The sequence below is a fragment of the Homo sapiens genome, chromosome 5, assembly GCF_000001405.40.
Source record: "Homo sapiens chromosome 5, GRCh38.p14 Primary Assembly".
Classification (NCBI taxonomy): Eukaryota; Metazoa; Chordata; class Mammalia; order Primates; family Hominidae; genus Homo; species Homo sapiens.
Window position 1 is genome coordinate 95,122,060 of NC_000005.10, and position 20,062 is coordinate 95,142,121.

The 20,062-nt window shown below is 38.1% G+C and overlaps 1 protein-coding gene and 1 long non-coding RNA gene across 21 annotated transcripts in view; one reads left to right on the forward strand and one right to left on the reverse strand.

The window, feature by feature from the left end:
* The window catches only part of MCTP1 (multiple C2 and transmembrane domain containing 1), a 581,405-nt gene that overhangs the window by 418,370 nt on the left and 142,973 nt on the right, over nucleotides 1-20,062 (reverse strand). The window lies entirely within an intron of this gene.
* The window catches only part of LOC105379085 (uncharacterized), a 121,023-nt gene continuing 117,475 nt past the window's right edge, over nucleotides 16,515-20,062 (forward strand). For both annotated transcript variants that reach the window (XR_948575.3, XR_948578.3), the window contains exon 1: nucleotides 16,515-16,685. This is a non-coding gene — a long non-coding RNA (uncharacterized LOC105379085). The remainder of the gene's footprint in view (nucleotides 16,686-20,062) is intronic.

Consider the following 20,062-nt stretch of genomic DNA (forward strand, 5'->3'; position numbering starts at 1 on the left):
AGAAAACTCTCCAGGACACTGGATTGAGCAAAGATCGTTTGAGTAATACCCCACAAGCTCAGGCAATCAAACCAAAAATGGACAAATTGGATTACATCAAACTGAAAAGCTTCTGAACAGCCAAGTAAACAATCAACAAAGTGAAAAGACAACCCACAGAATGGGAAAAAACATTTGCAAACTATCCATCTGACAAGTGGTTAATAATCAGAATATATAAGGAGCTCAAACGACTCTATAGGAAAAGAATCTTATGATCTGAATTGAAAATAGACAGAAGATCTGAATAAACATGTCTCAAAAGAAGACATAAAGACTGCAAACAGGTATATGAAATGGTGCTCAACATCATTGATCATCAGAAAAATGCAAATCAAAACAACAATGAGATATCATCTCACCCCAATTAAAATGGCTTATATCCAAAAGACAGGCAATAACAAATATTGGCAAGGATATAGAGAAAAGGAAACCCTCCCGCACTCTGGGTGGGAATGTAAATTAGTACAACCACTATAAACAGCCTGGAGGTTCCTCAATAAACTAAAAATAGAGCTACCATACTATCCAACAATTCCACTCCTAGGTATACACCAAAGAGAAAGGAATTCAGTATATTGAAGAGGTATCTGCCTTTCCATGTGGATTACAGCATTATTCACAATAGCCAAGATTTGGAATCAATCTAAGTGGCCATCACCAGATGAACAGATAAAGAAAATGTGATACATATACACATAGAGTACTATTCAGCTATAAAATAATGAGTTCTTGTGATTTGCAACAACATAAATGGAACTGGAGGTCATTATGTTAAATGAAATAAGCCAGGCACAGAAAGACAAACTTCACATGTCCTCATTTATTTGTGGGCACTAAAAATTAAAATAAGTAGAAGGGCGGTTACCAGAGGCTGGGAAAGGTAGTGGGGAGATGAGAAGAAAGTGCAGATGGTTAATGGGTTCAAAAATATAGTTAGTATAAAACCTAGTATTTGACAGTGCAACAGGGTGACTACAGTAAAAAATAATTGTACATTTTAAAATAACTCAAGGAGTATAATTAAATTGTTTTTAACACAAAGAATAAATGCTTGAGGTGATGAATACCCCATTTACCCTGATATGATTATTACACATTACATGCCTGTATCAAAACATCTCCTGTAACCCATAAATATGTATATCTACTATGTACCCACAAAAATTAAAAATAAAATCTGGCTAGCACAACTAAAAAAAAATGGAGGAACAGAATATAATATGTAAAGAGTCTGATTTTTCTTATCCACTGGATTAGGAGAAGAACAGTAAACAAGATTTATGAGCTTAGACTCATTGCAGGCCTCTCCTTAAATAAATGTCGCTGAGGATCCATAATGTGTACTTCAGAAAGGAAAATATTTTTCTTTTAAGAAATGACATCCACCTTGAGTTTTCCAAGAACATCCACCTCTTTCCATGTGAAATGTTTGTCACCCCCTTTCACTGAAGATATTACTGGGCTTCTACAGGAGAGGTAGAATTTATCATTCAGCACAAGATATATACTTTGGGTTTCTAAGAAAGTATTTGGATTCTAACAAGCTCTGCTTTTTTTTTTTTTTTTGAGATGGAGTCTCGCTCTGTTGCCCAGGCTGGAGTGCAGTGGCACGATCTCGGCTCACTGCAAGCTCTGCCTCCCGGGTTCATGCCATTCTCCTGCCTCAGCCTCCCGAGTAGCTGGGACTACAGGCGCCCGCCACTGCGCCCGGCTAATTTTCTGTATTTTTAATAGAAACGGGGTTTCACCATACTAGCCAGGATGGTCTCGATCTCCTGACCTCATGATCCGCCCGCCTCGGCCTCTCAAAGTGCTAGGATTACAGGCATGAGCCACTACGCCTGGCCAACAAGCTCTGATTTTTTAAAATAAGCCCATGTATCAATGTACAAATAAGGGTTTTCTCAGACATTACTGGATGTCTAAATGCCTAAAGTGGTCCTCAAGGGTAACACGTACACATTTAAGAGTAATATCCTGTTTGTATACCCAACCTGGAGCCTGAGAGATGCCACAAAGGCCCCAGCTGACTAAGACCTTTATCCATCCAGCAGTTACCTACTGTGGTGAAGCTTAGATCTCAGATAAATGAAGGTTTAAGATGAATTTTTACTTCTGAGTTTTTCTCCAACTGCCTCTAGCTGACTGGCATACTCTACTTTGGAACGTTTTCAGATTTGAACCATAGGTGGGTGTGGTGGATAAAGATGAGCGAGCTGACAGATTTGTGTGGGAAAGCACATGCTATCTGTCAAGACTATCTTTATAAAATGGAAAAAGGCACTTTATAAATGAGAAAATCTGGCTCAAAAAGTATATGGATTAAACATATAAATCTCTTACTGGTTTTGTTTCTCTGGAGAACCTTGACTAATACAGATGTCTGTTAGATGTTAGGTTCTGAAATGTAGTACTTGCTTGTTTGAATATGAGTAAGATTCCAGAACTCCATGCTGATCTGTTATCTCATTAAAATGACCCTGAAGTACAGTAGTCCTTGTCCTTTCCATCACTGGCATTTATGAAGCATATGCTGGGGGTAAAGTCCTATCCCAGCCTTTACAGGAAAGAAAAGCATAATTCCTACGTTTGTAGAACTTATACTCTATATCATTTCCCTCAAATATATGATCCCACTATGCAGGGTTTTGTCATGGCTAAACCGCTTAGTCCAAATTATTCACTAGGAATATAAAAAGTGGTTGGAGACCTCAAAGATATTTATCTCAATATTTTCCTTCTCTTCTTATATTACCTGAGGACTTTCATCTTCTGCACACCTTTTTATTTTGTTTTGTTAGAACTGAAAAGTGCTTTTATCTGGACATCAAAGATACCACTTCACCTAGAACAGGTTATAGCTAAATCATAACATCTCTTTGAAGATCCTTCAGTAGTGATCAGAGATCAAAAATAAAGTGTAATGGACTTTGATACTTAAACAGCAAAACATTTTAAGGGTCAAGGATTTTTCAACACTGATATTACACACACTAAGAATTTGGATGTGTATGTTTTGTGCAGAAGAGAAGGGAGTAATACCCATCAATTATTAGAAAGTTAGTCCATTGTGCAACTCTTGACTGCTGTATCTTCCAATCCAATCATTTGTTTAATTGATGTTAGTTACATTTTTAGGGTGCTTAAATGATTCAAGTATATATTTGTTAACTTCCAAGTGGACCACTTGTCTGGTTTGAGTTTTGGTGGAACAATTTTAAACATATTATCTATTATAATGAGGACAGAGCAACAATATAATCACAATCTAATGTCTGCTGTTAACTAACTGACCTTAGCTGCCACCTGAGTCTCCACGCCTTTTCTCCTAAAGACTCTTCTTCCTGGAATCGCTAGCCACAACCTTCACCTGGCAGTCTCCTTGTTGTTGAGACATCAGCTCAAATGTTGCCAATTTAGCAAGACTTTCTCTAGCCAATCTAAGTATTCTCCATCCCCACACAAAGATGCTTTATGAAATCAGTGTCTTGTTTTACTCCTAACACTCATTACTACCTGATTCTTTTTCATTTTATTTATTTGTTGTGTTCTTTTTAAGGAAATGAAAACCTTATGAGTACAGAAATTGTGCCTTATTGACTGGTGTATTCCAAGGGTTTGAAATAGTACTTGGAACACAGTAAATGCACAATCAGGGTATAAATGAATGAAATCATATACATAAACTATATGTTTTGAAATTAGTGTTTACAACTTATCAGGTCTGAAAAAGCCAATTCAATTCACTCATTTTTCATTGACCTAATTTGTACATATCAAATGTCTAATTATCCAACAAGACCTTCTTCAACTTCTCTTCAAATTACTCCAAAACTGCAAGCATCCTTATAAAAATCTAACACAAAGCTATGAAGAAAGATAACATATTAAACTTTCTTTCGTGCCTCTTTGTTTTTTAAAAAAAATTTCAGTAAAGAACAGAGCTGACCTATGCAATAAATTGGTTTTTTGTTTTGCTTTAAATTTATACTATGTGCTAGAGCTATGGGGGGAGAAAAGGGAGGGAGAAGATACTCAGATGAAACTAACAGAATCTCTCACCACCAGGCCTGCACTGTTGAATAAGAGGGTCAACAGAGAAACCAGTTACCTCTACATTTAATGACATCAGAGGTAAACTGAAGACATCAGCTGCAGACAATTTCTGTGTTCCTCCCACTTATTGATTAGTATCAATAATGGTGAAAGTACAACAGTTATATCTGAGGGCTACTTGTGTTTAACTTGGCTCATATTAAAGAAATGAAGGCGAGTCATAAATAACAGCCACAGTGAAGTAAAAGAACAATCAGAAAACCATGCATGCATTTATTTTTAACTTTCATGTACCTAATGGTCTGTTTAAAGAAAAACTCTACCTCAATGAAAAACACAGGTCCACAAACATTCCCAAATATAATTTCCAAAATCAGTTTTTTTAGACGTATAAACACCCCCTGTGTGCACACATATGCATCTTCTTATATGTAATGACAGACTTGATCCTCTAGAACTTTGAAATTTTGATATTGGTGTGTCATTATTTTATTGCACTTTGACAAGCTGAAGCAGGTAAATTCTGGGATCATGCTATACTACATCTGCAAGGTACATTTTCATACATGGAAGTGACTGTTCAAACTTTTGGTTAATATACAGTATGTGAAGCATCTAAGAAGGCTTTTTTTTCAATTAATGGCAAATCCTTTTAATAAACTCAATGTGCCCAACTCATTTAATTTTTGAAAATACCTCTAGTGAGAAAAAATATGTAATATAAAAGCAAATCTATTTTCCCTACTTTAGAAATCAACGGAAACCACAAATTTTAAAATAACCACATTTTATTATGTCCGATTTTTCTTTAACGATTCCCTTGAGCTCTCCGTGTTACTGAAGGAAGTCAAAGCAGCAGGTTGAGCTACCTTTTTAGGAGTGATTTTTCATGAGAGAGCAATGCAAGAAAGAACATCATCCTTTTTGGTGATTTCAGAAATATAGCAGGCAAATTCCTCATCTAGCCTTCAATAAATACTAATGCCATTTGGATGACAAATAAAATATTCTTGAAGGGTCCGTGACCAGAGAAACCAGCATTAGATCTAAAAAGTGGTTTTTCCCATTGATATCTAGCCATCAAATGAAAAAAAAAAAGTTTTTACTCATTCATCTGTTCATTCCACCAGTATTTTGGGGGTATATATTGAATGACAAGCAGAAAGTGCTCTTCAGTGGGATACTCAGGGTTGACCTTCTACAACTAAGGCACAGGGATACTGACACAGGACAGACCTGCAACAGTGCCAGGGCAGATTCTGGGGGCTCCTTAGTCCTTCTGCTGTTGGACCATGAGGAAATCTGGGGAGCCCTGGGCAGGTTCAGGGCAGTGGAGGTGGTGGTGCAGTCTTGGGCAACTTGGAAGAGCATCTATTTGCCAAGGAGAGAGGAAGTACTTCAACGTTCTAACAACCCATCGAGTCATTAAGGAGCACAGAGGAGGTGGACTGACCCCAGATTGCGGGCTTGTGAATGCAGGGGTCAGTGTCCAGGAAAAAGAACCGGGGAAGGAAGCTCCTGAAACATCCAACGAGAGTGAGTGGTCAGCAGATGACTCCAACCCGTACTGTAAATATCCTTCAACTTTTTACCTTTAAAGTCAAATGTGACCTCCAAAAACCTCAAATTGAAAATAACCCAGACTGGGCCTAGAAGCAGATGTGTATGATTTAAGTGCAAAGATGGAGGCATAATGTCTAAGGGGAACTGGAGCCATAAAGTGCTGGTGCAATCTGAATGGGAGGCAGGGAGGAGAGAAAGACAAGGCTGGAGAGCTGGGCAGCGACCAGATGGTAGGTGTTCTTCTGCACCTTGTTACAGAGGGCTTAGGCTCCATCAAGTTATACTAGAAAGCCATGCGAGGGCTTAAAACAGGAAAACGACTTGCCTAGATAAGTATTTTTGACAGTTCACTCTGGCTCCTATGAAGGGGTTGGCTTGAGGAGCAAAATGCTAAAGGCTGGAAGGCTAAACAGGAAAAAGTATAGTCAATAGTGAATACCCTGCACTTGTCTAAAGCTCCATGGCAAGGTACACGACCATGATCAAAGCCAGTTATGGTGGCCCAAACCACAAGAAGAGATGAGAACTTTGGAAAATAATCTAGCAGTTCTTCAAAGTATTCTTCAATGGCTAGATATAGAATTACCATATGACCGAGCAATTATATGTGCAAGAGAAATAAAAACATATGTACACACAAAACTGTACATAAACATTCATGTTAGCATTATGTATAACAGCCAAAAAGTGGAACAACTTAAATGCCCATCAACTGATGAATGGGTAAGTAGAATGTGGTATACATGTACAAGGGAATATTATTTAGTCTTAAAGAAATGAAGTACTGATACATGCTACAACATGGATGAACCTTAAAAATATAATGCTAAGTGAAAGAAGCCAGTCACAAAGGGCCACGTATTGTATGATTCCATTTGTATGAAATATTCAGAATAGGCAAATCTATGTAGACAGAAAGTGGATTAGTGGTTGCTTAGGACTGGGGAAGGGGAGGAAGGATGGAGAGACTAGGGAGTGATAACTAAGGGGCACAGGATTTCTTCTTGGGTGAATGAAAACATTCTAAAGCGGGTTGTGCGATCAATGCACGACTCTGTGAATATACTAAAAGGCAAGAATTACATACTTCCAACAAATGAATTGTACAGTATGTGAATTATATCTCAACAAAGCTGTTTACAAAAAAGTGTGGACGAGAGCCCTTTCAACAATAACAATGTAAAGTGGCCCTAAGTGGCAACCTGGGGAACACCAACATTTAAGCAGCAAGAGGAATAAGAAACGCCCCAAAAGAGACAAAGAAAAAAATAACTGGAAAAGTTTGGGAATGGAGAGAGCTAAAGGAGCAAAGGATGCCTAAATATATAATTGCTCAGGTTTAATTGGGAAAATGAAATTAGATCCATGCTTATGAAACAGTAAGGAAACCAAAGTATCCAGTGTCTTCAAAAGATCAAAGAAAGACTCTTTACTAAACTTCATGCAAGGTTAAAGTGAATACTAGCTCAAGAACATCTCACAGAAGAGGGATAGCACTGGGGGCAAAAATCAAGTTATTGTATTTTTATTTTTCAGTGCTTCTTTATCTGAAGCAAGTTTTATCAATTTTGTCAAGTGCACGGGATAAATGTAACTCAGAAAACTATCTGACTGAAGTGTGTTCTCCTAGATGGTTCATCACGCTTGGTCTTCATTTAGCCTCTGTCAAGAGTAGTTACCTAACCTGCCAAATAAAGGGCACATAGCAGAGCATGGCTCCACAGTATTTTTGTGAGTATGTTGGTTAATTTTCTGTGTCAACTTGACAGGGCTAACGGATGCCCAAACAGATGGTAAAACATTACTTCTGAGTATGTCTGTGAGTACATTTCTAGAAGAGATTAGCACTTAAATCAGTAAACTGAGTAGAGAAGATCAATGTAGACAGATTTATTCAATCCTTGAGGGCTCAGAGAGAACAAAAAGGCAGAGGATGGGCACATTTTCTTTTTTTTTTGAGACAAAGTCTCGCTCTGTCACCCAGGCTGGAGTGCAGTGGCGCAATCTTGGCTCACTGCAACCTCCGCCTTCTGGGTTCGAGCAATTCTCCCTGCCCCAGTCTCCCGAGTAGCTGGGATTACAGGCACCTGCCACCATGCCTGGCTAATTTTTGTCTTTTTAATAGAGACAGGGTTTCGCTGTGTTGGCCAGACTGGTCTCGAACTCCTGACCTCAGGCGATCCACCTGCCTTGGCCTCCCAGAGTACTGGGATTACTGGCATGAGCCACCCTGCCCAGCCAGAGGATGGGCAAATTTTTTGTCTCTCTCCTTGAATTGGAACATCCATCTTCTCCTGTCCTTGGACATCAGTGCTTCTGCTTTTCAGACCTTTGGACTCCAGGATTTACACCAGTATCACCCCCTGTCCCCCAGCTTCTCGGACCTTAGAAATAGGGCTGAATTATACCACTGACTTTCCTGGCTCTCTGGCTTGCAGACAACTTCTCAGCTTCCATAATGAGGAACCAATTCCCATAATAAACTCCTCTTATCTATCTATGTAAATCCTATTGATTCTGTTGAAGAAGCCTGATTAATACAGTAAGAAAAACGTGTCTCCTATCTCCTACCTCCTGGAATCTTTGAGGTAAATGAGGTGGGATGGGTTTCTGACAGTAAGTTCATAAGCAAAGCACTGGTGCTTCGTTTCCACTGACAAGAGACATAAAATGGGGAGTGAGAGAGACAGGTAGCAGCAACAACTGGCTTGTATGTATGCTAGGGTAAAGTTTTAAATTATTTTGATAGCTAACAACCAATAAGATATGGATTCCAGACCCAGCTTATTTTTCAGTGTATTAGTTTGCTAAGGCTGCTGTAACAAAATGTCACAGTGTGGGTGGCTTAAACAGAGATGCATTTTCTCACAGTCCTGGGAGCTAGAAGTCCAAGATCAAAGTGTTGGCAGGGTTGGTTTCTTCTGAGGCCTCTCTTCTTGGCTTGTCGATGGCTGTCTTCTCCCTGTGTCCCTCTGTGTGTCTGTGGCCAAATTTCCTCCTCTTAGAAGGACCCCAATCATACGGGATTATCACCTACCCTAATGACTTCATTTCAGTTTAATTACCTTTTCAAAGGTCTTATTTTCAAATACAGTCACATTCTGAAGTGCTGGGGGTTAGGACTTCAACATATGAATTTTTGAGAATGGGGACACAATTGGCTAGGTGCAAGGAATTAGAATTTCAGGGTAAGAATTATTCAATCAATAAATTATTTTAACTGCCTTTACATTTGTTTGAGGAAAATTCCGGGACACGTTTTGGTTTTGTTTTGTTTTAACAAAGTTAATCTAACCCATGCTTAAAAATTAGGTGGTTCACAGTATTCAATCCATTCTGAGAACTGCTAGTGGCCAATGTCGCTGTCCATCATTTCCCTTTGCCCCACTGAAATACTCTCAGGCTCTTTGGTGGTAACAGAGCAACAAATAGAGTGCTTTTCCAGATCTCAATGTTGTCAGAGTTGCCTTTGACAACAAGGAAGGAAACATTGCCTTTCTTGCACTACTTGTGCCTAACTCTCAACTCTGAGGCACTGCAAGCAGGAGCAAGAGAGAAACATCAAGGCTGAGCATGGGAGAAACACATTTGTTAATTGTGTTTCAGGCTGAGCCCCTGAAAATGTGAAGCAAGGAGACTGGGCTTGATTTTAATAGACCTGATTCTGTTCATGTGGCTAGATTTTGTTGCTGAGGACTTTTCCCTTACTCACTGGATCAAAAGATTGTGAGAGTTAATAATATAACACAAGAGTTAAAACTATTTAGTGTACAAGGCTGAGATCATAAATGAAAAGGATGGGCCAGGTTTTGGTTTTATGATATTAGGTGCATAAGTCTGGTACATTTCTTATCATCTTTGCTCTGATCTATTTTTTTTTCTTTTTTGTCATCGTAGTTATACTTCTAACATAATTTATGATTTCTTTACTTATTTCATTTACTCTTTATCTCTCTATATGACACTAAAATGTAAATTCCTCTAGGACAGGGATCTCTGTCTGTTTTATTCCTTGATCCATCCCAAGCACCTAAAATAGAACTGTTCCCAGAGTAGTCATTCAATAAAGGCTGGTTGAATGAATGAATAAATATATCTCATTAAATCAAGCAAACTGATTTTTTAAAACATGCATTCCAAAATTCTAATTACTTAAGTGTGTTGTCCCTTGAAATTGTCACCTTGGGGACTCTAGGCTTATTCCAATTATGCTATTACTCAAAAATATTTAGACTCTTTAAAGCCCCAGTTTATGAGCCACACAAGAAATTAGTCTTATTACCTTATATAGTTTACTTTTCACTATAACCATCATTTTTCAATGTGATTATCTATTTTCTTTATTGAAATTTGTTCCAAATGGCTTTTAGCTCTTTTCTCAAGTCAAACCCATCCTGAAAGGATGAAGAGTTATGACAATTCCGTAGAGAATTAACAACAGCAAAAAATCTCTCATTACAGTCACCAGAATTGAAGGGAGCCCCAGTAACATTCTGTAACATCTCTTGCTTCTCAAGAGGAATTTGGCTAATCACATTTGACAGTGTTTTGTTTTGCCAGCACTTGCTGATTTAATTAATTTTTAAAATCAAGTGCCACTGGTATAGTTAGGACACTCAGCACAACAGGAGGCAAAGCCATGAAGAATCAGCAAAGTGACACTTCTTTGTATTTCACAGGGCTATCTTTTACAAACAACTATTTTTTTCCAATACAGAAATATTAAGTGCTAAATGGAGAAAACCTGGAAAATGCATAAAACAACAGAGAAGTATTCCGATAGAATTCCTATGTGCAGAAATGAGTGTGCGGAAGGCCGGATGGCTGCAGCTTCATCTCAGGCGCAGTTGCCTTCTTACAGATCCCTGACTCGTCGGCTCTGCAGTCCCGCGACCTCAGCACTTTGGCAAACCGCTCTATCCTCTGCCAGGTGTGCTGTCCCCCCACTGTCCCTCCTTTCACCTGGTAGCACTATCTCACCAAGGAGATCCCAGCTTACATCATTTCCTCGGGGCAGCCTTCTCTCACTATTGGGAAGAAGTCTCATGAGCTTTGGCTTTGTAGCATGTATCACTGTGCATGGTTACATATTGGGTGACTACTTGATTTATACTTGTCTCTTTACTAACCTATGTAAAATGAGGGCAGGGATCATGGATGTTTTGATCACCATAGTCCCTCAAGTTCCTAGTGCTGACCCCTCGCTCAATAAGTACATTCCTCCATGCTGCACTCACATCTCAAGTGCTAATCACTTGTTAGAACCAGGTTAGGAGCTAGATTGTGACCAAGCTCTTTCATTAACCTGAAGAACTCATAAAAAATCATCACACTTAAGTACCTGGTCCCTTTAAAGAAGTCCTGAGGTGATTTAAGATTTGATCATAAATACGTTCATTCTTAAGCTTTTTATGGGAGACAATATAAAAAATGCCCATTAGAAAAATATTGGTATAACTTTTGTAAAACCATACAGTAGCTTCCCTTTATCTACAGGGGATATGTTTCAAGACCCCCACTGGATACTTGAAACCATGGATAGCACTGAATGATACATATACATTATGTTCTTTCCTATACAAAGATATCTATCATAAAGTTTAATTTATAAATTAAGAGATTAGCAATAACTAATAATAAAATGGAGCTATAACAATATACTGTAATAAGGCCGGGTGCAGTGGCTCATGCCTGTAATCCCAGTACTTTGGGAGGCCGAGGTCAGGAGTTTGAGACCAGCCTGGCCAACATGGCAAAACCCCGTCTCTACTAAAAATACAAAAAATTAGCCGGGTGTGGCGGCACATGCCTGTAGTCCCAGCTACTTGGGAGGCTGAGGCAGAAGAATCACTTCAACCTGGGAGGTGAAGGTTGCAGTGAGCCGAGATCGTGCCATTGCACTCCAGCCTGGGTAACAGAGCAAGATTCCATCTCAAAAAATAAATAAATAAAATAAAACAATACACTGTAATAAACATTGTATGAATGTAGCCTCTCTTAAAATATCTTACTGTACTGTACTCACGTATTTTTGAGCTCTGGTTAACCATGGGTGACTGAAACTGGAAAGTGAAGCCACAGATAAGCAGGGACCACTCTCATAAAAAACCTATTGTCTGCAATTAAGGTCCATGTAGTAAGTTTCTTCTACGGAAAGAAAAAAGGTTTGTTCCTCAGAAGAATTTTTCTGCTTCCTACTTGAATAAGAACTGTAAAAACCCCAAATTTTCACTGTTTCTTGGCTATCAAGAAGGTTGGACCAAAGCTGACCTCCTTATCCTAATAATTAGTGCATGCTTGGCACGTACTTTTCATCTGTTTGTCTGATCTTCTGAATTGATTCTTGTTCTACTCTTTAATTACCTTGGATCTTCATGTTTTAATACCATAGGATGCTTCAAATCTATTCTATAAATAGGTGAGATTGGAAACAATGAGTAAATATTTATCGGATCATTATTTTTCCAATGTTAAGTGTTTTAATCAGTGTAGTATGTTTATGATTTTTGAAACTCTATTTTTCATGATATCTTGAGTTATTAAACATGATTCCACTAAAAGCATTTGAATATTTTATCTGGCCCAAATTCTGATATATGTACAAATGTTCACACATTATAGGCAAGATTACATATAAAAGAATGGCATACAATGTATCAGTATTGCTGTGGAACAAACCATTCCAGCTTAGTGGTTTAAAACAACAATCACCTTATTAACTCAAGAATTCAGTGGGTTGGCAATTTGGGGCGGATTCAGCCAGTCAGTTCTGCTGATTCAGTCACTCGTGCAGCTGCAGTCCTTCCGCTTTTCAGGTGGGGCAGGATGGCCTAGGAAGGCCTCACTCCCTTATGTTGATGCTGGCTATCATCTTGGCCACAGGTCTCCAGCAGGCTAGCCAGGGCTTCTTTGCACAAAAGCTGGGTTCCAAAAGCAGCAAGAGAAACAGAGCTCCTGTGCTAAAGTGCCCTTGAAAGCTCTGCTTGCAACACTTTGCTAATACAGGTCAAAGGAAATCACATGGCCAAGCTCAGAGTCAGAGTGGGACAATGATACAGGTAGGCTGGATTAACTGGAAGCTATTACTGTAATAATTTACTACAGAAGATAATAAATTAATTAAAATAATCTTTCTTCTCAGTTTTCAAAATACAATTGAAGTTACTGTTTTTGACCAAATAATAGGCAGTCTCTGGAAAGCAATTGTGGTTTAATACAACCTCTAAGTTCCATTGCTCTTCAAGGATCTCGATTTACTGTTGCCTGATGGCCAAAAAAAAAAAAAAAAAAAAAAAAAAAAAAAAAAAAATTCCTTCTTTTTCCAGATCAGAAAAAAAAAAGGTCAGATTCAGATACTGAGGTATGTGAAAATCAGTATTTCACTAGATCAGGCATAGTTCCAATACCAGTATAAAGAAACAAATCTGAAAGAAAAGAAATTATGTTTGCAAAACAAATATGGAGACAGATTCTATAACTCTGGAAAGATATAGTAGATAATAAGAATACATATTCTCAACTTTTCAGTCAGGGACCATAATATCAACAAATCACAAAGAAAGAAAGAAAAATATACACTATGGTGGTGAATTGAGAATATTAATGATAACTATGACTTATTGTTTATAACCTGAATCCAAAAAGTCCTATAAAATAAACAAGTTTTCAAGTTGAATGAAATATCATTAGCTTTAGTGTGATGGTTGATACTGAGTGTCAACTTGATTGGACTGAAGGATGCAAAGTATTGTTCCCAGGTGTATCTGTGAGGGTGCTGGCAAAGGAGATTAACATTTGAGTCAGTGGGCTGGGGAAGGCAGACAATCTGATCAGCTGCCATCGAATATAAAGCAGGCAGAAAAACGTGAAGAAGCAAGACTGGCCTAGCCTCCCAGCCTACATCTTTCTCCCGTGTTGGATGCTTCCTGCCCTCAAACATCATTCTCCAAGTTCTTCAGTTTTGAGACTCGGACTGGCTCTCCATGCTCCTCAAGCTTGCAGACAACCTATTGTGGGACATTGTGTTTGTGTAAGTTAATACTTAATAAACTCCCCTTTATATATATGTGTCTGTCCTATTAGTTCTGTCCCTCTAGGGAACCCTGACTAATGCAGTAAGCATAATAGTATTTTGGTTCAATAAACTGAAAACAACTACAGTAAAAACTGGTTTATTGTTCCAAATCAGTTCATTAAACATTATACATTTCAGAGAATCACAAGCAAATGTATTGAAAGCCAACTCTGGCATCCACTTGGAAGCTTACAATTAGAGTAGATTTCAATATAATTGAAGTAGGTTTTAAAATCTGTCCCTAAACTACTTTATTATCCTCATCTCCTGCATAGCATCAGCCTTCTACCTTCCCAGAACATTTAAGCACTTGCTTCTCCTCATGTACATGTCTTGGTAATCATTATTTCTAAGCCTTGGTATCCCTTCTCCCTCTCTTCAACCTTATCCACTGGTCTTATTTCTGAAGACCCAATGAAATATCACTCCTCTGTGAATCCTTCCCTAACACCCACAAGAAGAAATAACTTGCTCCTGTGTACTCCCCCAAAACATTTTACTTCCTTTGTCTTCCCAGACAATTCTTGTTATCCTTTGGGCTGGTCTCTTAAGCAAATGGCTCTATTCATTCAGGAAGGGTTCAGGCTTGGTATCTCTGATTTGTGATGAGATGTTAAGTTAAGCTATCTGCTCAATTATGTAAAAGATGAATTGGGATGAAGAGGGAGAGGAGAAGGAAGATGGAAAACGGGAAGCTGGAGACAGAGATGAAGTGGCGAGGAAAAAAGTTGGGGACAGGGAAAATTCAAGGGGGAGGGAAGTGGGGAAGGGAGGAAATCTTTGCGGAAGGAAGTCAAGAAGAGAGAAGAGTGAGAGAAGACGCTCTAGCTCACAATAGAGTTTACAATGTGTCCGACTCTATGTTTTTAATCTTTACAATAATTTTATATGTAAATACTATTAGTATCCCTATTTTACGGATGAAGAAACTGAGACAAGGAGATTTGTGTACCTGGTCCAGAATCTCACAATTAGGAAGAGGCACAGCCAGAGCACTAACAGAGGTCTAGATGCCTTCAAGGCAGAGCAATAGTCACTACATCTTCCTGCCTCACATTGATCTGCCTTTCAGTCAACAAAGAGTAACTTCAGACTCTTGCCTGGAACTATTTCCTGATCAATTTCATCAAGACTACAATGGAGAAAAATTATATTTTGTAAAGGTTATTTGTGAAGTATATGCCACCCACTCATCTAGACAGCCTAGGTTTAAAACCTCAACAATGAAAAGAATTACTAAGGTATTTCACTTATTCATTTTCAGCTTATAGCAGAAATTCTTTCCTGAATTCCTTCAGTGTGATGCCCCCTGCTTACCTTCAGCGATGTTATAAGCAACAGCCTTATGAAATCTAGTGCTGTATTTGTTGCTGGCTTGTAGCTTAGGACCTAGAGCCTCACTAGAGGAGGCAGGAAGCTTGCTTCGGGGGAAGTATAACCTAGTGATGAAGAGGATAGATTCCGCAATTGTTCAAGCACTGCTTCCAGTTGTTACTATGTATTATGTAAAGTTTATTGGATTCTCCAAGCCTCAGCATTGTCGTCAATAACACGATAGTCCCTGGCTCACAGAGTTGCTGTGAAGATTTATGAGAGAATGCTTGTAAAACACTTTGTACCATGCCTAGCACACAGTAAGTGCTCAATACATATCATCATTAAACAGTATCCCCCAAAACTAAAGTTGCATGCAATATCTTTCAGGTCTAGATTCTAGCAAAGATTTTGCCTCTCTTAAAGAGTTGACATCCTCTTATTTGCATGGACATTGAACTTCTCTTTTAGCTTTGGCCACTACTAAGATCAAAGACAAAATTTCACCTCAACTGTGGCACATTTGTGGAAATCTATTGCTTGTATGTAGATCTCTAGTCTAATATTGTTTTCCATTTCATCTATATTTTCCCTTATTCTGATTGTCTATTAGTATATACATTATTGTAAGCTGCTTCAAATATTTGTGGAATAAAGCAAACATCATAAATGAATTAATAATTCTGCTTTTTTAATGTCTGCTCAATCACCAAAAAAGGCTGTTTCCCTAATGTGGGGAACATATTGATTCCCTGCCAAACCAAACTTGATGATTTGCAAGCAACATGTTCTTAGAAAACATTTACTGAGTACTATTCAATATTACTATTGAATAGTATGACTATTGAATTACAGGAAATATGATACTTAATAAAAGTCCTACAGAAAACACTGAAATTCCAGTTCTAGATAACAATCACGCAAATGTGTTTTCAGATTACTTCAAATTTTTTTTTCAATAGGAAGTGTTTTTCTCCCACTTTTGTTTTTCTGGTCATCTTTTACAGTAATTTCAAGTCATGCTCTTTTCTCATTCTCCCAGGAGAAGAACTGTGCTATGTCTGCTACTGAACTCACTATGATTGTGTACCAAGATGCATTCATAGACTTTCCTGTGAGATGCAACCCCCCCCCGACATTAAAATAATATGTGTTTTGGAGCTCGATGGGAATATATGAGCATTGAGACTAGCTGCGCCACTTTTTAGATGAGAAAACAAGGCCCAGAGAGCTTATGAAGATGGCAGCAGTGGAGCTGAATAAGAACACAGCCTTGTCAATCTCCATCCAGGTTTTTCTCACTATCCTCTCCTGTAACTTTCTAGAAGAGCAAGTGTCATAATGATGGAAACTAAATTAGTCGCATACACAAAGAATCATCTGTTCTTTCCGTTTAAGTTTCCTTTCTAAAATGCCTTATTATACAAACAGCAAACTATTTAAAGAGAGGTTTCCTGGAATGAGTGTTACTGGTCTGGAAGGGCCTCTGAAGAGTCCAGGAATAGGTCTGCTAACCAAAGGAATGACCCCCTCACAGAGACCACCACTGACTGCCATGTGAGCCGCCGTCCCTCCAGCTGCCCTCACTCCACCGGCTGCTCCCTCTCACATCCCTCTCTGGATTCCTTATCACAAGGTATTATTATCTTCTTTATCTTTTCTTTGTGCATTTAGGGTGTTGTCACTGCCTCTAGTGTGCAAAGTACACCCTGCCCGTTAGCTGGATAGGCAATTTTTAACTAGTTGTAATGTATGTGGACAATCTCATTATCAGTTATTTTCAATTAATTCTTTTTCTGATGTGTCGAATTTGTCACAGTCTTCATTTAGATCTGTTTCTCTATCTGTATATTATACACACATACACACACACATTATAAGGTTGTCAGTGTGATCTTAAAATTAGAGTTTATATGTTCAAAATATTTAATATTTAGAACTTGTATAAAACATTTAGGGTTTTTTTTTCCTTTCAAATAGTCGTATTAGTTTAACATCAGCTAAGAAACATAATTATGATTGAACACATCCATCAAAAAAGTTAGATCTTCATGTTAAAGCCCAAAATAAAAACTCTAAGCATAGAAAATTAATGGATGCATGCTAATTGCCAGAAACATTTGCTGCTCAAAACAAAGAAAATAGAGCTGAATTATATTATTCTTAATGTCTTTGTAATCTAGAAGGCTTTGTGAGAATATACCCAACATGAGGAAACAGGGTTAGAGATTTACAGATATTTGCATGCTTTTCTTTCCGGCAAATGCAAATTTCTTAAGGAAATAAAAAGATCTAAACATTGCACCATGTCAAATGAAAATGAGTGCAGGTGAGAGCAAGATTTGCCTGTTGCAATATCTTTGCCTCTCACTTAGGGAACAAGAGAGCTTCTTTTTTTACATTTTCCCCTTTTTTTCCAAAGCTATTTTAGCCAAAGGAATTTTTAAAAGGAGTCTCAAAATCAACCTTATTTTAAAAAGTTAATTTTAAAAAGATAAATTCTTGCTACTCACCAAAGGTTAATTTCTAGATCAAAGGTTTCTATTTTTAGTTACATATCCAAGAACACATCTAACTCTAAACAACTGCAGATCCACAGAAGCTGTTTCCTTATGAACAATGTTAAGTGGTATTGGCCCCATTTGCCACTAAACTGAGAGCTCCTTAAAAGTGAAAATTTTCCTTAATTTTTGTCTTATTATCTAGCCCACAGCCTGATGCATAGGGCTTAATAAATGGTTGAATAATAAATGAATAACGGAATGGTAATCAACTTTAATATTTACAAGCTTTGCTTTAAAAATAAAATGATCCAGAGAAGAAACAGAAAAACATCAAAATCATTAAATTTAAAAGTGTAGCTTAAAGAGAACTTGATGGTCTCCCTGAGCTGCTCTTCCATGCTGGAATCCCCTCATCCAAAGCTAAACCCACTTTCATCTCAGCTTGACCTCTACCTTCCAATGACACTCATGCTTCCAATGCAGACAAGATTTGGAATTGCAGAAAAGGCATCTCATTTCTAGAGAGGATGGATAGGCTTTTGCCTCCAGGAAAGTAATCATTCACTCTCTCTTCAAAAAAATTTATATTTGCAAAAATGTGTTTTTTGCCATCTGTTTCATTGATTCTGGTCCTGTTTTCCACAGTGCCAGCTATCATTCATGTCCTCATCTGCAACCCGGGACTTTGCAGCAGGATATTGAAGGTGTTTAAGGCAATTAGTAACACGGGAAAAAATGCACACAATTGGTACTTTTGTTACTTCTCTATAGTCCAGAAGAGACCTTAGGAGGACAGAAGGCATTTTCATCAAACAGCAAATTATTCTAAGCAGAAACTTTTAAAATAGACTGGTATTTTGAAGATTTGAAAATTTTAAAGGGTAAAAGCATATTCTTTTCAGTCTCTCAAAAACTGCTGTCACAAAACTTTTGGGCTATTTTTTTGCTTTAAGAACCATTTAACGGCCGGGCGCGATGGCTCACGCCTGTAATCCCAGTACTTCGGGAGGCCGAGGCGGGTGGATCACGAGGCAGGAGATCGAGACCATCCTGGCTAACACCGTGAAACCCTGTCCCTACTAAAAAAAAAAAAAAAAAAAAAAAAAAAAAAAAAAAAATTAGCCGGGTGTGGTGGTGGGCACCTGCAGTCCCAGCTACTCGGGAGGCTGAGGCAGGAGAATGGCGTGAACCCAGGAGGCGGAGCTTGCAGTGAGCAGAGATTGCGCCACTGCACTCCAGCCTGGGCGACAGAGCGAGACTCCGTCTCAAAAAAAAAAAAAAAAAAAAAAAAAGTGCCATTTAACGAGAATGTACTAGAAAAGATTATGCATCCCTTCTATGATCACAGTTTCAGAATGAAGTGGTTTCTAATGGAGGAGGCATAAGACAAGTCCAAGAAACTTGGTGTATCTATCCTTATCAAGAATATCATCAGCTCACCTTCACGGTAGAGGAGTTTACCTATGCCATCTCTCTTTCCTAAAAACCTTAAAGACGGGGTTATACTGATTTGAAACTTTTTTCACTTCAGCTTACTCAGGCTTATTAACTAAGAGTAAGATACATAACTTTTGACATTCAAGTAAAATCTCACTAATTTGGATTGTATAAATTTGGAATCTCTTATCAAAAGTTAACCTTTGCTTTAGTTACAGACATTTAAAAGAATTTGATGAAGCAAATAAAATGTGTAAAATGATTGCCACGGGCGTATGCTGGTTACTCAAGACCACAGTTTGTTTTAAAAACACTTCAGTAATCCACTAAATACCTACAGTTACTCTGCAGATTAAATCTGGAATATCTGCCTCTCAGCGTCTAGCCCTTGTGAACACAGCTGGGGTATTCTCTGACTCTGGCTCAATTTAGGTCACTGTTGTATGTGTGCAACAACATGAGAGTTTGGCTATTTTTTGAAGGCAAAGTCCTAGATAGTTTCATTGTGTTTTACTTTTTGTTACCTGATACCGAAGTGTCAAAAGAATGCCTTCATGTCCCTGGATCTGATCATCACTGTTCTGCTCATCTTCATTGTCTTCTTGATTTCATTTCTCTTTCTCCTTGCTCTCCCTACCCCATCTTTCTCTCTCCCTCCCTCCCTTCCTTCCTTTCTTCTATCCTACTTTTCTTTCTTTTTTTCTGGTGTGCCAGTGCTGGTTTTCATATAAAAACATAAAATATGTTTAGAGCAGGATTTTTATTAATGTAGTTCAGACACTTGTGTTAGGCAAATAGGCAATAAACTTCATGCTGATCACTTTCTTAGAAAAGTTATTGGTAAAGACTTTAATAAAAACTATCTGAATAAGTATAATAAGCCTTTACTTACTACCAGTTTCCACTTTCAACAATGACAAGTCATCTACTATATGCTTAAAAATGTTTTTCAAGAAGAGCTACTACAAATGAAAGGAGATAAAACTTCATTCCTTTCAAAAAACATTTCAAAATTATTTCTTCATTGACTCAGATGAACTTGACATAAGAATTTTCCCCACTATTTCTTTTT